At 39.9% G+C, this 21,439-nt stretch overlaps 3 protein-coding genes and 1 pseudogene across 10 annotated transcripts in view, besides 2 other annotated features; 1 reads left to right on the top strand and 3 right to left on the bottom strand.

Annotated features, from left to right (window-relative positions):
* The window catches only part of TF (transferrin), a 134,644-nt gene extending 127,260 nt beyond the window's left edge, over nt 1-7,384 (bottom strand). The window contains exon 1 of the mRNA NM_001354703.2: nt 7,349-7,384. The gene's annotated coding sequence lies outside the window, so the exon portion shown is untranslated. The remainder of the gene's footprint in view (nt 1-7,348) is intronic.
* Nucleotides 4,348-4,456, bottom strand: RNU6-678P (RNA, U6 small nuclear 678, pseudogene; annotated as a pseudogene).
* LOC124909487 (uncharacterized) lies at nt 6,044-8,156 on the bottom strand. Its single transcript, XM_047449438.1, has 3 exons — nt 8,036-8,156; nt 7,349-7,869; nt 6,044-6,483 (listed from the first exon to the last, which is right to left on the bottom strand). The coding sequence occupies exons 1-3, from the start codon at nt 8,154-8,156 to the stop codon at nt 6,334-6,336; spliced, it is 792 nt and encodes a 263-aa protein (XP_047305394.1). The 3' UTR covers nt 6,044-6,333.
* Nucleotides 7,015-7,084: an enhancer, noted in NCBI's record as "active region_20554". NCBI's record gives its function as "activates an Ori minimal core promoter by ATAC-STARR-seq in GM12878 lymphoblastoid cells {active_cell/tissue: GM12878}" and the evidence as "EXISTENCE:reporter gene assay evidence [ECO:0000049][PMID:35858748]".
* TOPBP1 (DNA topoisomerase II binding protein 1) overlaps nt 7,441-21,439 on the top strand; it is a 61,704-nt gene continuing 47,705 nt past the window's right edge. For 3 of the 8 annotated variants that reach the window (NM_001363889.2, XM_047447358.1, XM_047447357.1), the window contains exons 1-10: nt 7,441-7,613; nt 8,248-8,338; nt 10,232-10,366; nt 11,441-11,584; nt 12,525-12,706; nt 13,896-14,092; nt 15,858-16,037; nt 16,768-16,919; nt 19,439-19,602; nt 19,749-19,999. In NM_001363889.2, coding sequence (NP_001350818.1) covers nt 8,255-8,338; nt 10,232-10,366; nt 11,441-11,584; nt 12,525-12,706; nt 13,896-14,092; nt 15,858-16,037; nt 16,768-16,919; nt 19,439-19,602; nt 19,749-19,999 — 1,489 coding nt within the window. In that variant the 5' untranslated portion in view covers nt 7,441-7,613; nt 8,248-8,254. Of the gene's footprint in view, nt 7,614-8,247; nt 8,339-10,231; nt 10,367-11,440; nt 11,585-12,524; nt 12,707-13,895; nt 14,093-15,857; nt 16,038-16,752; nt 16,920-19,438; nt 19,603-19,748; nt 20,000-21,439 lie in introns of all 8 variants that reach the window. The other 5 variants (NM_007027.4, XM_011512357.4, XM_047447356.1 and 2 more) reach the window with 3 other exon arrangements.
* Nucleotides 7,485-7,654: a silencer, noted in NCBI's record as "silent region_14749". NCBI's record gives its function as "represses an Ori minimal core promoter by ATAC-STARR-seq in GM12878 lymphoblastoid cells {active_cell/tissue: GM12878}" and the evidence as "EXISTENCE:reporter gene assay evidence [ECO:0000049][PMID:35858748]".

The raw sequence follows: 21,439 nt of genomic DNA, 5'->3' as shown, positions 1-21,439 counted from the left end.
CAGAAAACAGACTTTTAGACAAGCCTTCTCAGATGTTTTATTTGACAAGTAAAGAAACACAGGCAAGACAGTAGAGATGTGGCTGGGCACGGTGGCTTATGCTTGCAATCCCAGCACTTTGGGAGGCCTAGGTGGGTGGATCGCCTGAGGTCAGGAGTTTGAGACCAGCCTGGCCAATATAGTGAAACCCCGTCTCTACTAAAAATACAAAAAATTAGCCAGGTGTGGTCGCAGGCACCTGTAATCCCAGCTACTCGGGAGGTCAAGGCAAGAAAATCGCTTGAACCCGGGAGGCGGAGGTTGCAGTGAACTGAGATCGCGCCATTGCACTCCACCCTGGACAACAGAGCAAAACTCCGTCTCAGAAAAAAAAAGAAAAAAGAAAATAGAGATGTGAGACAGGGAGAAAGGCATCCAAAGAATGTGTTAACAAGTCAGATGCCACTGTGGACACTGGGACTTAATTCCCCTGAGGAAACTATGAGAGTCAGAGTGGATGTCCCATCCACGGGACATGCAAACAAGGGTTTTTGTGCACCAACTCCTGTCAGCCATCATTTAAGGGGTTTTTTTCCCTATAGGTCATAAATCCTCTAGCCCTCTGGCCTACTGTGCAGGTGGCAGAGCAGATTCCTGGTGCCAGAGAATGCCTTCATGCAATGAACACAGATGCTGGCAGCTGGAAGTTTCCTAATGTGCATGAGTGCTAAGGGTGAGGGGGTATGGGTGGGACACTAAGGGTTTCTACATGGTCTCTGCCAGAATCCAGACATGTTTTTTTCCCTCCCTGCCCAAGCACACATCTGCTACACACTGGGGAATGGGGAGGCACAAACAGAATAACAACAATAAAACTCCCTTTCAGAAAAGGGAGGAGTGGAGACCCATAGCCATCATTGGTCAGTATCAATTTTGAAGTTGGGCAGGCACTAGGAGGCTCTCGATTGGGGGTTCTGATTAGATCAGATTCTGTTCTGTGACAGGAGCTCCTTTGCTCGTTGCTCTCCAGGATCCCTGGTACCTCCTTCTGGGAGGATCTTCATTTTCTATTACCCTCTCTATCCATATCTGAATACTGAGGAGTTTGTGCTCCTTGGGGCTGTATGACTTTCCACCTACTTGTGCTGCGAAAATTTGAGGATTAAATCAAAGTCTGAATACTCCAGGTTTCTGGTTGGGTTCAGAAAGCAATTATCTCAAAATGTTCGTAACCTTCAGATCTATTTGGTTCCAGTCAGTTTCACGTGGTAATTGTCAACCTCACACATACAAAACAAGGTCAAGGGTAGGGCCTGATTCCACCAGTGAACATACTTGAGACATTTTTAGATTTAGATGGTTTATTACTTCCATAGATAGCAACAGAGAAGAATAAGTGAAAGATGTCTTCTCCCTGGGTCTGATGATTGCAATGCGAGTTGTAGGATACTCTATTACTAAGGAGTCAAATCTAGATGGCAGCTAGTGCTTTTATATTCTGCAGGCCTATCATGAGGGGAGTGGGGCAGAAAGCCCCATATCTCATCAAAACCTGGGAGGTGATGAGAAACTATGTCATGACAGCCTCTTAGGAGAGATAGAAAGGTGAGTGAGAGATGCCTTTCTAGTAGCTCCTTAGACACCTCCCTTAAGGATGACAAGGTGTTGTGCCAGGGCTCAGATAAGTTGCAATTCAAGCCTTTGCCTCTATTGATATGTGTAAGCTTATCAATAGAGGAAGTCATGGCAGAGCTGTTCTTCTACAGAAGTAGTCCCCTCCCTAGTTCTTTCCTAGACATAATTTTCAAACCTGATTGCTATCTTTGGCCCCATACCTCTCTCTCTCTCTCTCAGTTGATGGTGCCTACCTAGCTTGGGTGACAGGACCATATTCTTTAACTAGATCTTTTCCACATGGTCGGGTTGTAATGGACATTTGTTGCTCAAAACCTTTCTCAGGTTTATCTCTTGTTTTTAGGACACAGATGAAGTCAGCTTTTCCAACCTTGCAAAATCTCACATACTTGGGTTTTTTTTTTTTTTTTTGAGTCAGAGTCTTGCTCTGTCACTCAGGCTAGAGTGCAATAGTGAGATCATAGCTCACTGTAACCTCAAACTCCTGGGCTCAAGCAATCCTCCCACCTCAGCCTCCCAGTACCTGGGACTACAGGTGTGTGTCCTCCACACTCAGTTAATTTTAAAAAAAAACAACAAAACTTTTTTTTAGAGACAAGATCTGGCTGTGTCGCCCAAGCTGGTCTTGAATTCTTGGCCTCAAGCAATTCTCCTGCCTCAGCCTTCCAAAGTGCTAGGATTACAGGTGTGAGCCACTGCATCCGGCCTGGATTTTTTTTTTTTTCTTTTTCTGAGACAGTGTCTCGCTCTGCTGCCCAGGTTGGAGTGCAGTGGCACGATCTCAGCTCACTGCAAGCTCCACCTCCCAGGTTCACGCCATTGTCCTGCCTCAGCCTCCCGAGTAGCTGGGACTACAGGCGCCCGCCACCACGCCTGGCTAATTTTTTGTATTTTTAGTAGAGACGAGGTTTCACTGTGTTAGCCAGGATGGTCTCGATCTTCTGACCTCATGATCTACCTGCCTCAGCCTCCCAAAATGCTGGGATTACAGGCATGAGCCACCATGCCTGGCCAGGCCTGAATTTTTAAATTCTCTTTATTTTTGTTTGCAAACAGGCCAATTCCCTGAGCTTGTCTTTTGCTTATCTAATTAAATGCAGCCAGTAGCAACCCACATAGAATAGAATGTGCTAATGACATTCTATTTTACCTCCTCTTTGCTAGAGGAGACTTAGTAGGCCTATGTTCTATCTTCCAGGTTACTGAAGACAATAGTTTAAACAAATGTTTTGCTAATCAGACTATTTCTGTAGCGATAATATCATTTGCTAATTTCACTTCTAAATTGTACATTCAAGGCCGGGTGCGGTGGCTCATACCTGTAATCCCAGCACTTTGGGAGGTCGAGGTGGGTGAATCACAAGATCAGGAGTTCAAGACCAGCCTGGCCAATATGGTGAAACCCCATCTCTACTAAAAATACAAAAATTAGCCAGGCATGGTGGCACATGCCTGTAGTCCCAGCCACTCAAGAGGCTGAGGCAGAAGAATCGCTTGAACCCAGGAGGCGGAGGTTGCAGTGAGCCGAGATCATGCCACTGCACTCTAACCTGGGCGACAGAGCGAGACTCCATCTCAAAACAAAAACCAAAGCAAATTGTACATTCATTTATTTATACGTATTTATTCATTTACAGCATTGGAAACAAACATAAAACTCTATAACTCAAAAAACCTATTTTTAGTTTGGCTTTAATTTTGAGAAATATTATCTATGTAGTAAAATATAATAATAAATATTCATATTCCCACCACCCACATTGTAAAAGTAACTATTTTGTCATATTTGTTTCCTGTGTTTTCTTTCCCGTTCTTTTTTTTTTTTTTTTTTTGAGATGGAGTTTCGCTCTTTTTGCCCAGGCTGGAGTGCAATGGTGCAATCTCGGCTCACCACAACCTCCGCCTCCTGGGTTCAAGCAATTCTCCTATCTCATCCTCCCGAGTACAGGCGCCTGCCACCATGCCTGGCTAATTTTTTTTATTTTTAGTAGAGATGGGTTTCTTCATGTTGGTCAGGCTGGTCTCGAACTCCCGATCTCAGATGATCTGCCCACCTCGGCCTCCCAAAGTGCTGGGATTACAGGCATGAGCCACCACTCCCGGCCTCCTTTTCCATTCTATAAACAGATAAAGTTGCCCATAATGTCACCCCAAGCAGGGTCTGGAGAGACTGGCTCTAGGTGACAGAAGTGCCAGAGAAACAGGAAACTGATCCTAAATGCCAGGAAAGTGAGGGAAAAGTTAATTCCCTACCCCAACTACATTTTTTTTTCTTTTTCTTTTTTCTTTTTTTTTTTTTTGAGATAGGGTCTCACTCTGTTATCCCAGGCTGGAATGCAGTGGCATGATCATGACTCACCACAGCCTTGACCTCCTAGGCTCAGGTGATCCTCCCACCTCAGCCTCCTGAGTAGCTGAGACTACAGATGCCCGCCACCACGTTCAGCTCATTTTTGTATTTTTTGTAGAGATGAGGTTTCACCATGTTGCCCAGGTTGGTCTCAAAGTCTGGGGCTCAAGCAATCTGCCCACCTTGGCCTTCCAAAGTACTAGGATTACAGATGTGAGCCATAGCACCCGGTCCCCAGCTTCTTTTTTAAAAAAGTTTGTAAATATTAGAGATGGGGGTTCTTGCTACGTTGCCTAGGCTGGTCTCGAACTCTCAGCCTCAAGTGATCCTCCAGCCTGGGCCTCCTAAAGTACTAGAATTACAGGCGAGAGTCACCACGACCGGCAAATATGGAATGCTTCACAAATTTGCATGTCATCCTTGCACATGGGCAATGCTTATCTCTGTATCATTCCATTTTTTTTTCAGTAAACATGCTGCCAAAGTAAGCACCGAAACCTCAGCTTCCGAGGGCATATCATAACCTTTCCCTGTTTTCACCAAAGTCTTCAGGGACCACAAACCCATATACAGTTAGTTCCTTGTATCTGTGGGTTCCACATCTGAGGAGGTCAACCAACCGGGGATCAAAAATATTCAGAAAAAAAATACAATTTTTATGTAAAATTTGCCATAGTAGAAAAAATACAACAATAAAAAAACAAAATTTAAAAATACAGTATAACAAACGTTTACATAGTATTTACATAGCATCAGGTATTATAAGTAACCTAGTGATTATTTAAAGTACATGGGAGTGGCCAGGCGCAGTGACTTATGCCTGTAATCCCAGCACTTTGGGAGGCTGAGTCAGGTGGATCACGAGGTCAGGAGTTAAAGACCAGCCTGGCCAACAAGGTGAAACCCGTCTCCACTAAAAATGCAAAAATTAGCCGGGTGCGATGGCAGACGCCTGTAACCCCAGCTACTTGGGAGGCTGAGGCAGGAGAATCGCTTGAACCCCGGGGGTGGAGGTTGCAGTGAGCAGACATTGTGCCAACTGCACTCCAACCTGGACAACAGTGAGACTCCGTCTCAAAAAAAAGAAAAAAAAAGTACATGGGAGTATGTGCACAGGTTATATATAAGGTACTTGAGCATCTTCAGATTTTGTTATCTGTAGGGGGCCTTGGAATCAATCCTCCGTGGATACTAACCATTTCACCCTTTCCTGAAGGACTGCTGTTCAAGCAAACTTTAATGTGTACCAAAATCACCTGAAGGGCACAGATTGCTAGCCCTACCCCAAGTGCTCCTGACTTAATAAGTCTGAAGTGGAGCCCAAGAATTTTCATTCCCCCAAAATTCCCAGGAGATGCCGATGCTGCTGGTCCAGACACTACACATCAGAACCACTGCTTTATCCATTTTCCAGGAGTAGATACTAGAGACAGACCCTCTCTGCTTATCTGGAGACACAAGATGGGAGAACTTGCCCCCTAGTGGTGAACTCTTACTCTAAAGACAGGTCACTCCTCTGGTATCAAGTTCCGGCTGGGTAAAAGCTAAAGGGTGCATTTTCTTCATCTTCATTAGCAGCATCTATGAATCTCCTTCTCTTGTGAGGTCTCTACTTGGCCCAGAAATGCCAGGAATGGGCTCCCTCCCCGGTGTGGAACTTCACACAGAGATGGGCAGACAGCACGTGCCCAGGAGCAGTGTGGTGTGTCAGGAAAGGCACGGGCAAGTGACACAGTCCCTGAACTTCACTTTCCCCATCTCCATAACATGAGACAATGATACCCATCTATTATAGGGTTGCTGAAAAGAGTAAACGGGAATAGTGTGAGCAGGAGTCCCATGTTAACTGTAAAGTGCCCTAGAAATATTAATTGTTATTACAGATTCAGGTCAGATTTGCACCTTAACAATTAACTGTGGTTTCTTTTTTTTCCCACCTCTAGTGATTTTTGTTTTTTTGCTTTTAAGGCTTTCTTCACCCTTCCCCCAGCAATAGGCCTTTACCTTTGAGCCCCAGTGTTAATTGATTCTGACTCATTTCTGGTAAAAAAAAAAAAAAAAAAAAATTAATGATATTTATTAAAGCACAGTAAGACAGATTTTATTCCGGACCATCAGGATAGGTATAGCAACCATGGCAATGGGATTCTGAATTAGGAGAGAGAGAGTGGGCTCAACTCTAAATACACCATGGGCAAGTGGGAATTTATAGCCAAGGAACAAAAAGCTTGGGGTCACTGGATAAAAAATTACTAAGAAGGAACTTCAGGAGTAAAGGGGTTTCTTGCTGAAAATAGGTCAAGGTGATCAGACATCACCTTGGATGGTAGAGGATGAGGAACCTGATCAGATATTGAGGGTAGAGGGTTCTAACTGGATTTTCCAAGGAAATGCACAGATAAACCTACGAGAAGGTTGAGGAGTCTGACTAAAGTTTGGCCAAGCAAAGAATCTTTGTCACCTTCCATCGGTGTATTCAAAAACTTAAGACTCAAGCTGCTCATTACTATCTTTAGGCTCTAAAAAGAAAAGAAAAACAAAAACAATCAAGGGACATGGCATTATACTTTTACATTAGTAAATCCAAAGTCATTTTCTCAATCTCAGCAGTGAATAATAAAATGATCCTCATTAGTATAGTGGCTAGATTTTATAAAATAAGAAAAAATTTTTTTAAAAAAGAATAAAATGAAAAGAAGCAACAACGAATCAGTTTTCCGCTGGTTATCACTAAGGTTTGCAGGCCCATCTTATCCCCTCTCCCTTTGCTCTCTGCCATCTGAATCTTAGGTTCAGTCCCAGAATCTCCCCAGTACTGAGGCAGATGCAGAGAAAGAGAACGGCGATGTCCACTGAAGGGGAGGAGGAGGGGAGACCATTGAAGATCTTGACAAAGATCCCTTTGCATTAGCTGTGTAATAAGTCATCCTTTCTTCCCTTGCCATCTTGTGGCTGTGTTAGGCGGTGATTCTATTCCTGCTGTGTTGGAGGGAAACCACCCAGTCCGTAGTCAGAAGACCTGGATGCAGTATTAATTCTACCACCTACTAGCCGTGTGCCCTTGAACCCATCATTTAACTTCCTCCGTTTTTACATCTACAAAATGGAACTACCACTATTTGCCTCACGGAATTGTTTTGGATAATACCTTTTCCCGTGCATGCCTGGTATAAGACAGGTGTAAAATAAATATCTATTGAGGAAATCCTTTCTTTCCCTGGCTTTTTTAACAGTAAAGGAGTATTCCTGGCCTGTGGTCCTACCTCTTGAACCGACGGCGCTGGGCCTACTCGCAGCGGAGACTAGGCCCGCCCAGCAAAGCCCTAAACCCAAAGGGTCCGGCCCAAGCTTTCCCTGAAGCCCCACCGCCCACAGACTGCTCACCTCCACGTTTGACATTTCCGCTCTTCTGCTGCAGCTGCCGATGGCGTCACTTCCACCGGAAAAGGCAAGCGCGGCCGCGCGGTTGGCGCGAAAGTCGGTTCCCGTTCTGGGCAATTTCCGGGTTCTCCAGCGTTTGCTTTGGGGTAGGGGCGGCGCCGAGTCGGGGGAGGGGGCTGTGCGCCGGGCTGGCGCCCGACCCCAGCCACCGCCCTGCGGCCAGCGCGTCCCCCGACTCGCCGCCCGGAGACCCCGAGGCTCCAACGAGGTAAGTGAGGCGCGGAGTGGGGACACAGCTCCTCCCCAGCCCCAACTGGGGTTCGCGATGCCTTCTGTGGCCTTCAGGACCCTCTTTTCCTGTCCTGGTAACTGGCCCTGGAGCCGGCGGGTGGGCCTTTGACGCCGAGAGGACGTGGCTTCCGTGATCCCAGAGCCAGGCCTTTTCCTGGAGATGGGAACCGGAGCATCTAGCCTTATGCAGGGCCAAGACCATGCTAACTGGCTTCCATGTTTATATTTAAAATCTGTTTACTGAGGGATGAACGTACCTCGCAGGCCGTGGGTATCCGCAGGGACAGATACACTCTGTGTATCCTTAAAACAAGTGCAATTGAATGTCCATTGGCCTAAAGGGCTTAGAGCCTTCATAGCAGGGCCTTCCTCAGTGTATTCAATTCGGGTTAATTTTGCTGTCTGATTTGCAAGGATTGGTGTTGTCATCTTTTACCTTGGCTTTGTCCAAGTTCCAGGATTTCTTAGAAATGCCGTTGACGAATTCACGGGCAGAGCCAGAATGTCTGTCTTTAGGCATTCTTGTCTGCACAGAAAAATAGGTAGGTTAAACATGCAACTTTTTATCTAATGTGGTTTTGTTCTTGTTAATGGTTCCTTTATTTTGACAGTTCAGAAATGTCCAGAAATGACAAAGAACCGTTTTTTGTGAAGTTTTTAAAGTCTTCAGACAATTCCAAATGTTTTTTTAAAGCTCTCGAGGTAAGAGTTGAAAACATCTTAATACCGTGAATTCATTTTCTTGTTTTTAAGTGTTTTTGATTTGTTGGGCTTTATGTCTTAGAAGTAGATATTTCACTTTCATAATAATTTTATAGTCTACATTAATACAGATATATCATTATCACATATTTTTGAATTGATCTAAGTACATCATTATGTATTTCGGGGGGCTGGAAGTCTATTATCACATTGCTGTTTAATATGGCTGACCTACAGTTCTTGGAAATTAAGTTGCTTTCATTTGTCTCCTAGCCAGAGTGGTCCTTTGCGTGCTGTAGAAATTTGAGTCAGTTGTGTACTGGTCATACTTGAAAATTTTTTGGTTAATTGTTAAAAATTATGTTTTATTATGTACAGTATAATAATTGGATGATAGTAGGGGTGATGTAGATCCTTGCTTCTCACAGAACCCAGCAGTATCAGCATGGCCTGGAAGTTTCTTCGAAATGCAGAATCTTGGCCTCCAACCCAGACTTAGAATCTGCATTTCTAACAAGATCTTCAGTGTGCATTAAAGTTTGAGAAGCATTTGTAGCAGATTTTTTTAAACTTCATTCATTCAGCAAGTATTTATTGAAGTGTTCATGATTTGATAGGCACTTCTCTAGTACTTGGGATTTATCAGTGATGAGAACAGGCAAAGATTTCTGTTCTTTCAGAGCTTACATTCTAGCAGGAGGACATAGACACTAATCAGACATGATAAATTAGGAAGAGAAAAAAGCAAAACACGTTAAGGGGTTCCAGAGGATGTTTCTTGGGGTGGGAAGAGAAGGGGGTTATAATCTTAAATAGGGTGTGATCAGGGTAGGCTTTATGAAGAAAAAGATATTGAGTAAACGTGAAGGAGGTGAGATAGCCTTGCAGATATCTGGAGAAGAATGTTGCAGGCAGAGAGAGCAACCTTATACAGCCCCTGGGAAAGTGCCTGTAGTCTCTATCCAAGTTTAGTGTACTGTTGTGTAGTGAGTGAGGGATGGGGGAAGAGTACTAAGGAATGCGTTAGAGAATAATGGTAAAGAGGTCATGTAGGGCCTTGTGGGCCATTTTTCTCTCAGTGGAGAGCCATTGGAGGGTTGATAATCAGAAGAGTAAACATGATCTGACTTACAGTTTTAAAGGGATTACTGTATTTAACATAAGGACCTCAAAATTGGTTCAGAACATTTCTGAGTGCTTACTGGGTGTCAGGATATAGTAGCAAACAAGATACATAGAAACTTCCAGGGGAGAGAGACAAAAACTATATATATATATATAAATACGTATTTTTAAATAGAATAGACTAGAAGGGTAGAGGAAGGGTATTTGAGAAAGCCTGATTAGGATGGGCATCTCTGGGGAGGTGACATTTAAGCAGACCTGATTGAAGTGGGGGATTAAGTCAGGTGAAAACCTGGAAAAAAAGTATTCTGTGCTGCAAGATCAAGAGCAGAGCCTCTAAATGAGGTTATGGTTGGCTTGTTCCAGGGTTGGCAAGAAAGCGGGAGTGGCTGGAATAGAATAAGCAAGAGAGATGAGAAGTAGGAGGTAAAGGTGGAAAGATAGGCAGGAAACCAGACTGTGTTGTCTTGAAGGCTGTAGTAAGAAATGTGGATTTTATTCTGGGTGTGGTGTGAAGACATTAGGTTTTGAGCAGATAGTGACATGATCTGACTTGTGTTTTTGAAAAGATTATTAGCTGCTGTGTAGAGAACAGATTTAGGGCAAGGAAGGGAAAAAGAGACCACTTGGGAGCCTTCTGCAGAGGTCTAAGTGAGATGTGATGGTGGCTTTCAATAGGGAAAAGGCTGGATTTGAGATGGAATTTGAATAGGACCTAAATACAGGAGAGTAATTTCAGGTACATTCTTATTTTATTTTTTCTTTCAGTCCATAAAAGAATTCCAATCAGAAGAATATCTTCAGATTATTACAGAAGAAGAGGCATTGAAGATAAAGGAGAATGATAGATCACTTTATATCTGTGACCCTTTTAGTGGCGTTGTCTTTGATCACCTCAAAAAGGTTTGCTGACTTCTAGTGTGTACCTTTGGTAGTCTATTTTTTGGTTTATCTTTGCTTTAATGGACATACATTCTTTGCGGATTATAAAGTACTATGCAACTTATGAGTACATTGGAATTCTTTTGGTTTGGCAAGACCAGGATTGAAAGGCTAATTATGTTACAGTAGGCTTTTTTTGTTTGTTTGTTTGTTTTTGTTTTTGTTTTTTGGAGACAGAGTCTTGTTCTGTTGCCCAGGCTTTAGTGCAGTGGCACAAGCTCAGCCCACTGCAACTTCTGCTTCCTTGGTTCAAGTGATTCTTGTGCCTTAGCCTCCTGAGTAGCTGGGATTACAGATGTATATACACACCCGGCTGATTTTTTTATTTTTAGTAGAGAAAGGGTTTCTCGATGTTGGCCAGGCTGGGCTGGTCTTGAACTCCTGCACTCAAGTGATCCTCCCACCTCAGCCTCCCAAAATATTGGGCTTATAGATGTAAGCAGTAAGGCAGTTTTCAGTGAAAGGGGCTTTTGAAGTTTATTTCTTTTCTTTTCTTTTTTTTTTTCTTTTGTTATAGGGTCTCACTCTGTCGCCCAGGCTGGAGTGCAGTGACGTGATCTCAGCTCACTGCAACCTCCGCCTCCTGGGTTCAAGCAATTCTCTTGCCTCAGCCTCCCTAGAGACTGGGACTGCAGGTGCCCGCCACTGCACCCGACTAATTTTTGTATTTTTAGTAGAGACGGGGTTTCACCATGTTGGCCAGGCTGGTCTCGAACTCCTGACCTCAGGTGATCCACCCCCGCTCGGCCTCCTCTGAAGTGCTGGCATTACAGGCGTGAGCCACTGTGCCTGGCCTGAAGTTTATTTCTTTTGATAGCTTGCATTGTTTGATTTGCTTTTGTGTGTGAGTGTTTAATGTATAGTATCTCTGAGAAATTATATAGTCATCTTTATTTTTTTCTTGTAATGATTTGCTGATTTCTCTACAGTGGTCATCAACTTTGGTAAAGAATTGGTGAATGTTACAAAATGTAATTTTGTAAGACTGGTGGTCTTTTCCTTCTTAACTCATTTAAACTTTTCTCTTTTTTGTAGCTTGGCTGCAGAATTGTTGGTCCTCAAGTAGTCATATTTTGTATGCACCACCAGCGATGTGTCCCAAGAGCCGAACATCCAGTTTATAATATGGTTATGTCTGATGTAACCATATCTTGTACAAGTCTGGAAAAAGAAAAAAGGGTAGATATTGATCTCATGATGATTGATCAATTTATATATCTATCTCTTATTCTTAATTTTTCACTGCATAGAAGATAGCTTAAAAGACTTTCCGCTTATTGTTCGTGACTTTTAACAAAGTTCAGTATACAACCACAGTGTGTATATATGTATACATGTACATTTTTTAAGTAAATTGAATATAGTAGAATTTGTTTTGTTGAAAACTGGCTAATTGAAATTTTTTGTTTTAATTTAAAAGGACACTCATTTTTTAATCACTTACATTTTTCCACTATAGGTGGACAGTCTTTAAAAAAAAGGATTCTAAATCGTTTGAATCAGGGAGGTGGAGGTTGCAGTGAGCCAACATCACGCCACTGCACTGCAGCCTGGGTGACAGAGCAAGATTTCGTTTTGGAAAAAAAAAAAAAAAAGCATTCTAAGAGAGAGCTATAGAAATACATATATATATTTGGGACAGGGTCTTACTGTCACCCACGCTGGAGTGCAGTGGCACAATCACAACTCACTGCAACCTTGATTTCCTGGGCTCAAGTAATCTTCATGCCTCAGCCTCCCGAGTAGCTGGAATTACAGGCATGCACCACCAAGCCTGGCTAAAAATAAATATTTATATATTATATAGATATAATTTATGTTGTTAAAAATACACATGTATATTTATATAGAAGCAAAGATTAAGATTTATACATCCTTTGTATAATAGTTTAATACATTCATGGAGTTGAAAGGGATAAATATAGGAAAATAATATTTTAAAAATATAATTCATACTTATCTCCCAAAAAATAATTTGGTTAATTATTTAACTTTATAATGTTATGTAACACTTATGTATTCAAACTGTCAACAGCAAAATGTATTTATGAGATAGTGTATAAAAGTGGAAGCAATATTGTTTGCTTCAGCATTAATGTGTTCTCTTTTGGGGCTGCAGGAAGAAGTTCATAAATATGTACAAATGATGGGCGGACGAGTATACAGAGACCTTAATGTATCAGTAACTCACCTTATTGCAGGAGAAGTTGGTAGCAAAAAATATTTAGTTGCTGCAAACCTGAAGAAACCTATTTTGCTTCCCTCTTGGATAAAAACACTTTGGGAGAAGTCACAAGAGAAGTAAGAAAGACATTTTTATATTTTCTAGATTTGAAAAAATGATGCATTCAATCATTTTTGGCATGTGATATACTCTTTGGACTTACTATTCAGGGAAAAAAATAGTGTCATTACTCTTTTCTCCAGCGAAAACGGAAGAGCAGAATCTACAAGCTCTTATTACCAAGATATAAGTTGACAGGCATAGAATGGGCCAAGGGTTTAGCATTAGCTACAGAGTAGGAAATGCTTTGGTGATAAAGTTCTCAGCTGTAAATATTTCTGAAATAATTGAGAAAACGAGTTTGGCAATTCTGTAGCTTTTATGTTGCATTATCCTTCAACACCATTCCCATATGTTAAGATAGATAATAAATTAGTCATTTTGGCAGTTGCATTCCTTCCAAAAGATGGCATATGTAAGGTTGAATATAAACATATGCAAGTCATCAGCTGAGATGTGATCATTTAATAAATGCTAATTGAGCCCATTTTACGTATCTGACTTGAGGTAGGCATTAGGTATATGTAGTAAGCAAAACAAGATAGTCACTTCCCTCATGGAGCTTAGAGCCTATTTCAAGGGGCACACTTCAGTTTCCCCTGCAACTAGATAAACAACCACAAGACCAAACACCACAGAATTGTATTGGCATACGAATTATATCGGCACTTTTCTGGGCTTGTTTTCAACACCATCCAGCATATCCCAAATATGTCTCCATGTCAGCAACTCTCATTCCCAATGTGATTACTTCATCAGCACACCTCCCTAGCATGGCAACAGAATAATGATATTTTTGTTGGTATTTTGCCAAAAATCATTGCTTTTACTTGTATAGAATAATGGAAAGATTAAAAAGTTCATTTATCTAATAGGCAACCAAATTACCTTTGGGTTTTTAAGTAGAGATTCAGACTTATCATTTTGGAAAATATACTATGACCAGCAAGGGCTAGAGTTAAGGAAATATATATTTTTCCCTTAAAATGGTTTTGAGAGACTGTATCTGAAACAATTACTTTGTTTTAGAGACATGTTATTGAACTAGGTGAACAATTAGTGTAATTCTGTTTTGGTGGTTCTCCTTTGTAAAAAAAAGATTATAAATCCTAAAAAATGAGGGAAGCAATAGTGATATTTGTGTTGTTTTTCATTATTCTTCTGGTAAATTTAATATGTTCTTTTTTAACCATTTGATTCCCACAGAAAAATAACTAGATATACTGATATAAACATGGAAGATTTCAAGTGTCCTATTTTTCTTGGTTGCATAATCTGTGTGACTGGCTTATGTGGCTTAGACAGGAAAGAAGTTCAGCAACTCACAGTTAAGCATGGAGGTCAATACATGGGACAATTGAAAATGAATGAATGTACACACCTCATTGTGCAAGAACCAAAAGGTAAAACTGTGTTTCACAAAGGGACAAATGAAACATTTTCTCTAGTATTTAATATTTTATTTTTATTTATTTATTTATTTATTTTGAGACAGAGTCTTGCTCTATTGCCCAGGCTGGAGGGCAGTGGCACAATCTCAGCTCACTGCAACCTCTGCCTCCCTTGATCAAGCGATTCTCCCAACTCAGCTTCCCGAGTAGCGGGATTACAGGCACCTGCCACCACGCCTGAATAACTTTTTATTTTTAGTAGAGACGGGCTTTCACCATGTTGGCCAGACTGGTCTCTAACTGACCTCAATTGATCTTCCCACCTCAACCTCCCAAAGTCCTGGGATTACAGGCATGAGCCACCGTGCCCAGCCACTAATATTTAATATTTTAAAATCTTTACAGAACAGCTTTTACTTCTGACATGTCATTAATCTAGTTTGATACTGTTTTCTCTAACATCTTGCAAAGATGTTTTCTCTAACATCTTGCAAAGTTTTAACTGGAAGACACACCTTGCGGCACATGAGGCAGTAAAAAATGAAAAAGACATTACGAACAAGAAAAATTCTTTAAAATTGCTATTAAGTTTGGTGTTACATAACATTATTCTGGATAATTTTTTATCAGCACTCTTAAAATATACACAAATTGATAAAAGATGAGTTTTGTTAATGTTTTTATTATTGCCCTTTATATGTATACTGTGTTTTACTAAGCTATCTAGATTGAGAAGAAATTACGATTAAATGGTAATTGTCCTTAAGTCAGAACTTTGAGTATGGCTGATTGTGATAGGATCACTGTGAGTAGAGTTGATACTGCTGTTCTTTTTCTGAATCTGAAGACAGTTCATTGTTGATTCTCTCAAGAATGCCAAAAAACCTTTCATGTGACATATTGACCTCAATTCCTCTGTGATACTGCTTCAAAATACATTGTGTTGAAGATTTTTAAGGTAATAAAAGATACATATTTTCAATATAATTTATCTTTTGGCTTATCTATCCTGGACTTTAAGTAGAAGCCTGTTGACATTGGAATAGTCTGTTCAAAGTTGGGATTTATTATATAGCACAAATTTACAATTTTCACATTGTACAAGCTGGTTTAAAGAAATTAAGTGATGGAGCCTATATGCAAACCCAAGTCCAATATTAATTAAGTTACCCCACAGTTGCTTCTGTCTTCCTGCAGTTTGTATAAAAGATAAAACCTCTCACATGGCATATGTATTTATACTACACATAGAAAATATAATTAGGCAATAAGCTAAAATACTACTTTGTAATAAACTGTGTAGCATACTGTTTAAGAGTAAGTACTGGTAACTTTAATTTTGTTGATAGGTTTTTGAAATAACCTGTTATAGCCGGGCGCGGTTGCTCACGCTTGTAATCCCAGCATTTTGGGAGGCCAAGGCAGGCGAATCACCTGAGGTCAGGAGTTTGAGACCAGCCTAGCCAACATGGTGAAACCCCGTGTCTACTAAAAATACAAAAAAATTAGCCAGACATGGTGGCACACGTCTGTAATCCTAGCTATTCAGGAGGCTGAGGCAGGAGAATCGCTTGATCAGGAGGGAGGTGGAGGTTGCAGTGAGCCAAGATCTCACCACTGTACTCCAGCCTGGGCAACAGAGTGAGACTCCATCTCAAAAAAAAAAAAAAAATATTAACCTGTTATAATTTGAATATTTCTGCAAAGATAGATTGTAATGGTTTTCATTTCTTGGTTTCTCCTATTTTCTCTATTTCTTTCTTAATGAACGCCACAGGTCAGAAGTATGAGTGTGCCAAGAGATGGAATGTACACTGTGTGACCACACAGTGGTTTTTTGACAGTATTGAGAAAGGTTTTTGTCAGGATGAATCCATATACAAGACAGAACCTAGACCAGAAGCAAAGACTATGCCCAATTCTTCAACTCCTACCAGCCAGATCAACACAATTGATAGTGAGTCTCATTGAGATTAAAATAATTATTCTGAAGACAGTCATATTTCTATGTAATAATCAGTATGTTAATAGGATCACTGAGATAGGGAATTTCTTTTTCTTGTTTGCTGTGCTTCTAGGCATAATTGTATAATAGTCAAATTGTATAAAAAGTTAGCACTGAACTGTTCGTAATTTTCTTTTAGAATGAATGAATGCTGTCTTTTATACTCTGTTGTAATGCAAAAGATGATCAAAGAAATTAAGAACAATGGTAGCTGGGGGCTTAAGATAAAAGTATTAATCTTTTAAACATTACATGCATATATTAATCTTTCCTTAATTTACAGTTTTGCTGCAGTTATAGATCATCTGTATTTGTATAAAAATTAAAACCATTTCTATTTTGTAGGTGTCGTGTTGGCAAAATGTTTAAAATATTTTTTCAAATGTAAGCTTCTTGGACCTTAAAGTCAGCAACTTCAGATTTTTATGGGAAACAAGACACTATTAAGAAAATGTGTTAAATCTATTTTCATTTAAATAAGATAGGAGGCTTAATTAATTTCATTTTCCCTTTTTATACTTTGCCACTAAGATTTCAGTAAACACCCCTGAATCTTACTTTGGAAGTTGTTTATTGCCCTATATTTGTAAGAAAAGTTAATCCATAGACAATATGTAATCATGATTATTTTATCTCCCATAAATTTATACGTTTTCAAAATATGTAGGTCGTACTCTTTCAGATGTCAGCAATATTTCCAACATAAATGCAAGTTGCGTAAGTGAATCAATATGTAATTCACTTAACAGCAAACTGGAGCCTACACTTGAAAATCTAGAAAATCTGGATGTCAGTGCATTTCAAGCACCTGAAGATTTATTAGATGGTTGTCGGGTACGTCTTTATTATATAATACATGCAGTAGATGATATACATTAGCATTTCCTAGCCTGACTTTGAAGACCCTTCAGAGTTGGGCTTGCTCCTTACTATCTATGTAAACCCTCCACTCTAGCTAAGTAGATGCACTTACTAGACCATGTCCATCCTTTGGCTGCGAGAGTCCCTCTGCCTGCAAGGTATCTTCCTCTGTTATCTTTTAAAAGTTCATTTCAGGTTTTAACTCTTCTCTGAACCCTCCTAACTACATTAATCTTTTCATCTGCTATATTTCGAGAGCACTTAGTTTCTGAACAACTTATTGGATTTTTTTTTTTTAATTTTTTTGAGTTAGGGTCTCACTCTGTTGCCCAGGCTGGGATGCAGTGGCACAATCATAACTTCCTGTAACCTTGAACTCCTGGGCATCAGCCACCCCTCAGTCTCCCGAGCAGTTAGAACTACAGGCATGTGCCACTACACCTGGCTAATTTTTAAAATTTTTTTGTAGAGACAAGGTCTCACTATGTTGCCCAGGTTTGGACTTTAAACTATCATCCAAGTGTTTACAGTGTATTAGACACTGTGCTAATCATTTTATGTGTGTTAATATATATATAAAATCGCATTTAAGTCCCACAAATAACTCTAAAATGGATATTATCTTGAGGGTAAGACTTAGAGAATTAAAATTCTTGTTCAGAGTCACACAGAGAGACATTAAGTGGCCAGTTATCTACTCCAAAGTCTGTATTCCTCACCATTAGAGCCACTGCTTTGTTTGGTATTTCTTGGGTTATTTAGTTTTTTAGTATATGAATAACTGTCTTATAAGTTTGTTGATGGAAACAGCATATGCTATACTTTTTCCGCTGTCTTAGATTGGAATACTTAATGTATTCCTATTTGTAGAATGACTTGGCTGTGCACTAATTTTCACAGAGTAGCAAAAATTTAACCCTACCTTATTGTTAAGAAGGGAAATTGGAGCTGGGCTTGGTGGCTCATGCCTGTAATCCCAGCACTTTTGGGAGGCCAAGGTGGGCAGATACCTGAGGTCAGGAGTTGGAGACCAGCCTGGCCAACATGGTGAAACCCTGTCTCTACTAAAAATACAAAAAAAATTAGCTGGGCGTTGTGGCAGGCCCCTGTAATCCCAGCTGCTTGGGAGGCTGAGGTAGGAGAATCACTTGAACCCAGGAGGCGGAGGTTACAGTGAGCCGAGATTGCGCCATTGCACTCCGGCCTGGTCAACAAGAGTGAAACTCCATCTCAAAATTTAAAAAAAAAAAAAAAAAAAAAAAAAGGGAAATTCGGCAAATTACCTTTTTTTTTTTTAAACTTGCCAACTTACAAAAGGTGGGTTTTTTGTTTTTGTTTTGAGACGGAGACTTGCTCTGTCGCCCAGGCTGGAGTGCAGTGGCGTGATCTCAGCTCACTGCAACATCTTCCTCTTAGGTTCAAGCGATTCTCCTGCCTCAGCCTCCTAAGTAGTTGGGATTACAGGTGCATGCTAATTTTTCTATTTTTAGTAGAGGTGAGGGTTTCACCATATTGGCCAGGCTGGTCTTGAACTTCTGACCTCAAGCAGTCTGCCCACCTTGGCCTCCCAGAGTGTTGGGATTACAGGCATGAGCCACCACACCTGGCTCAGAGGTGTTTTGTATGATGTTTTATCCTAGACTACTAATTCTAGATATAGCTTTTAATTATTTCTTACATATAGAAAGTATATGATTCCAAATATTTGTTAAAATATATTCTAGTAATGGGGGTGATTTAATTTGGGGTATAAATGCAGTTTGGAGTAGATTTGTCATACTTAAATTTTTTTAAGGGCACCTTATGTAAAATAGAGGTAAAATGATTTTATATTGATTAAATTGGTTTAAATATATATATACTGATAGCTAAAAATAAATTACTGCATACATGTTATCCTCAAAGCATTGTGTTCAGTTCTTTGACTTATATATATTTTTTGTTCAGTCAACTCTGTGAGTAAGGTAACATCAATTTATAGGTAAGAAAATTGATTTAAAGAGCGTAAGCAACTTGCCTATTGTCGTTAATCATAGGCAGCTGGAAAAAACAACCCCTCCCCCCGCCCCCCACACACACACAATTTAAGCCCAGGTGTTCAGAATTCAGACAGTTAACTACAGTTTACTTTTATAATTACTTTAAAATTTACAAGTAAGCTTCACAGTTAAAGAAGTTACCTGCATTTTAGGAATTGGTATGCACTAATATTTAGAAGATGTTGGACTCTGGCTTCTATTTTCTTTATAGCCACAAAATACTTATCAAGTATCTACTGTGAAAGATAATGCTGTATGAGATTGTAAAGAGTGATTAAAAACTCAAAGTTGCAGAACTGTTAAAAAATCAAAAGTTTCAGAATGTATTTATTCATATATCTTAAATGTACACAAGTTGTCTTATTTATACACAGTGGATTTAGATATATATTTTTAGTTTTTTTCTATTGAGAGAAAGCATGTTATGTATATTAAATATTTTCTTTCTTGCAGATATATCTTTGCGGTTTTAGTGGCAGAAAGCTAGATAAACTGAGAAGACTTATTAACAGTGGAGGTGGAGTTCGTTTTAACCAGCTAAATGAAGATGTAACTCATGTTATTGTGGGAGATTATGATGATGAATTGAAGCAGTTTTGGAATAAATCAGCCCACAGGTTTTTTTCGTTTTTAATTCAAAGCAATTTCTACTACATAATTTTTCTTAAAATTGCATATCCACGCAGTTCTGGAAACTGCATGACAAGTGGGATGATGGTCTTTATAGCTTGCACTAATACATAACTATGTGCTATTTTTGTAGGCCTCATGTAGTGGGAGCAAAGTGGTTGCTAGAGTGTTTCAGTAAAGGTTATATGCTTTCTGAAGAACCATATATCCATGCTAATTACCAGCCAGTGGAAATTCCAGTTTCACATAAGCCTGAAAGTAAAGCAGCTCTTTTAAAAAAGAAGAACAGCAGCTTCTCTAAGAAAGACTTTGCTCCTAGTGAAAAGCATGAGCAAGCTGATGAAGATCTGCTCTCTCAATATGAAAATGGTAGCTCCACAGTAGGTAAGAAATGCTTGATTAGTATTTGTAGTTAGTAAGAAATATTTTAGTAGCCTAATACGTACATATGTGATTTCTGCCAAGTTTTCTAGATTTTAAGTTAAATTAACCTTTTTCTTTCCTTAAAATTTTCCTCATAACTTTTTTTCTGAGCAGGCAAGACAAGAGGGTCCTGAACCCTTTAACCCTCTCTCCTGTCTCCAGCTAACTAGCTCTATTTTGATTTGTTATATATACAGGCATTGCTTGGTTTGTGTGTGAGTTTGTAATATCATGAGCCTTTTATTAAAACCTTGTAACAAATACCTCTTACTGGATTATTGTGGTCTTTAATGCATGAAACTGTACTGTGGACTACCACCTCAGTATGTACTCTTATCATGTAGTAAGGTAAATTGCCAGTGAAGCATTATAAACATCATTACTTCTTTTTTATTAAAAAAAAGCCTTTATAAAATACCTAATATAGCCAAAAATATATACATTTAAGTAAATTTAATGTGTATCATAACTTAAAATCTGAAGTTAATCAGAATTTTAATCTACCTCGAATAAAACAAGAACCTTAGAAAACTTTTTTTTTTTTTGAAGCAGGATTTCGCTCTTGTTGCGCAGGCTGGAGTGTAGTGGCATGATCTCAGCTCACTGCAACCTCTGCCTCCCAGGTTCAAGTGATTCTTTCTGCCTCAGCCTCCCAAGTAGCTGGGATTACAGGCATGCGCCACCACCCCTGGCTAATTTTGTATTTTTAGTAGAGATGGGGTTTCTCAGTGTTGGCCAGGCTGGTCTTGAACTCCCGACCTCAGGTGATCCACCCGCCTTGGCCTCCCAAAGTGCTGGGATTACGGGCGTGAGCCACTGAGCCCAGCCTAAAATACTTTAATGATCACAACTAGCCCTGCTCCCTCTCTCCACTCATCAACATACTCAGCTTATGTGATTTTGTCTAGTATTTTCATTATCTTTTAACATCTTACAATTAGGCGTTATTATGCTTTTATATGGTCAGTATTTGTTTCATTTACTAACACGTTTAACTGTTTCTTTGCTCTCCCCAGTTCTTTTTACATCTGAGACCTCTCTTTTGGAATCATTTTCTTTCTTCCTAAAACAATATCCTTTAGAAACTCCTTTAGTTTCTCTAAGACTCTTCGGCTGGGTATACAGTTCTAGACAGTTTCTTTAAGCACAGAGATATTGTTTCATTGTCATCTATTTCCCTGACTGCTGGATAGGAGGTCAGATATCAGTCTGTCATTCCTTTACAGATAATCTGTCTTTATCCTCTGGCTGTTTTTAAGATAGTCTTCCTTTTGGTTTTTGTGTCCTAGAGCTTTACCATTTATTTGTCCTGCTTGAGATTCACTGTGCCTTCTGAATCTGAGAATTAGTAGATTTTTTGCTTTTTGTTAGGTCAAGAAATGTTTATTATCTCTTTGAATA

Source organism: Homo sapiens, chromosome 3 (assembly GCF_000001405.40).
Source record: "Homo sapiens chromosome 3, GRCh38.p14 Primary Assembly".
NCBI lineage: Eukaryota > Metazoa > Chordata > Mammalia > Primates > Hominidae > Homo > Homo sapiens.
Note: the sequence above shows the minus strand (reverse complement) of the source record. Positions and strands in the feature narration are given on the sequence as shown.

What these genes read in the sequence shown, in the direction of transcription:
- LOC124909487 (XM_047449438.1), bottom strand. Translation starts at nt 8,156, where the DNA reads ATGCCTAAAGACAGACATTCTGGCTCTGCCCGTGAATTCGTCAACGGC. An exon ending in CAATCCTTGCAAATCAGACA is followed by an intron (nt 7,870 to 8,035) that starts GCAAAATTAACC and finishes CTCAGTAAACAG; the next exon opens with ATTTTAAATATAAACATGGA. An exon ending in CGGAAATGTCAAACGTGGAG is followed by an intron (nt 6,484 to 7,348) that starts GTGAGCAGTCTG and finishes TTTTCTTTTTAG; the next exon opens with AGCCTAAAGATAGTAATGAG.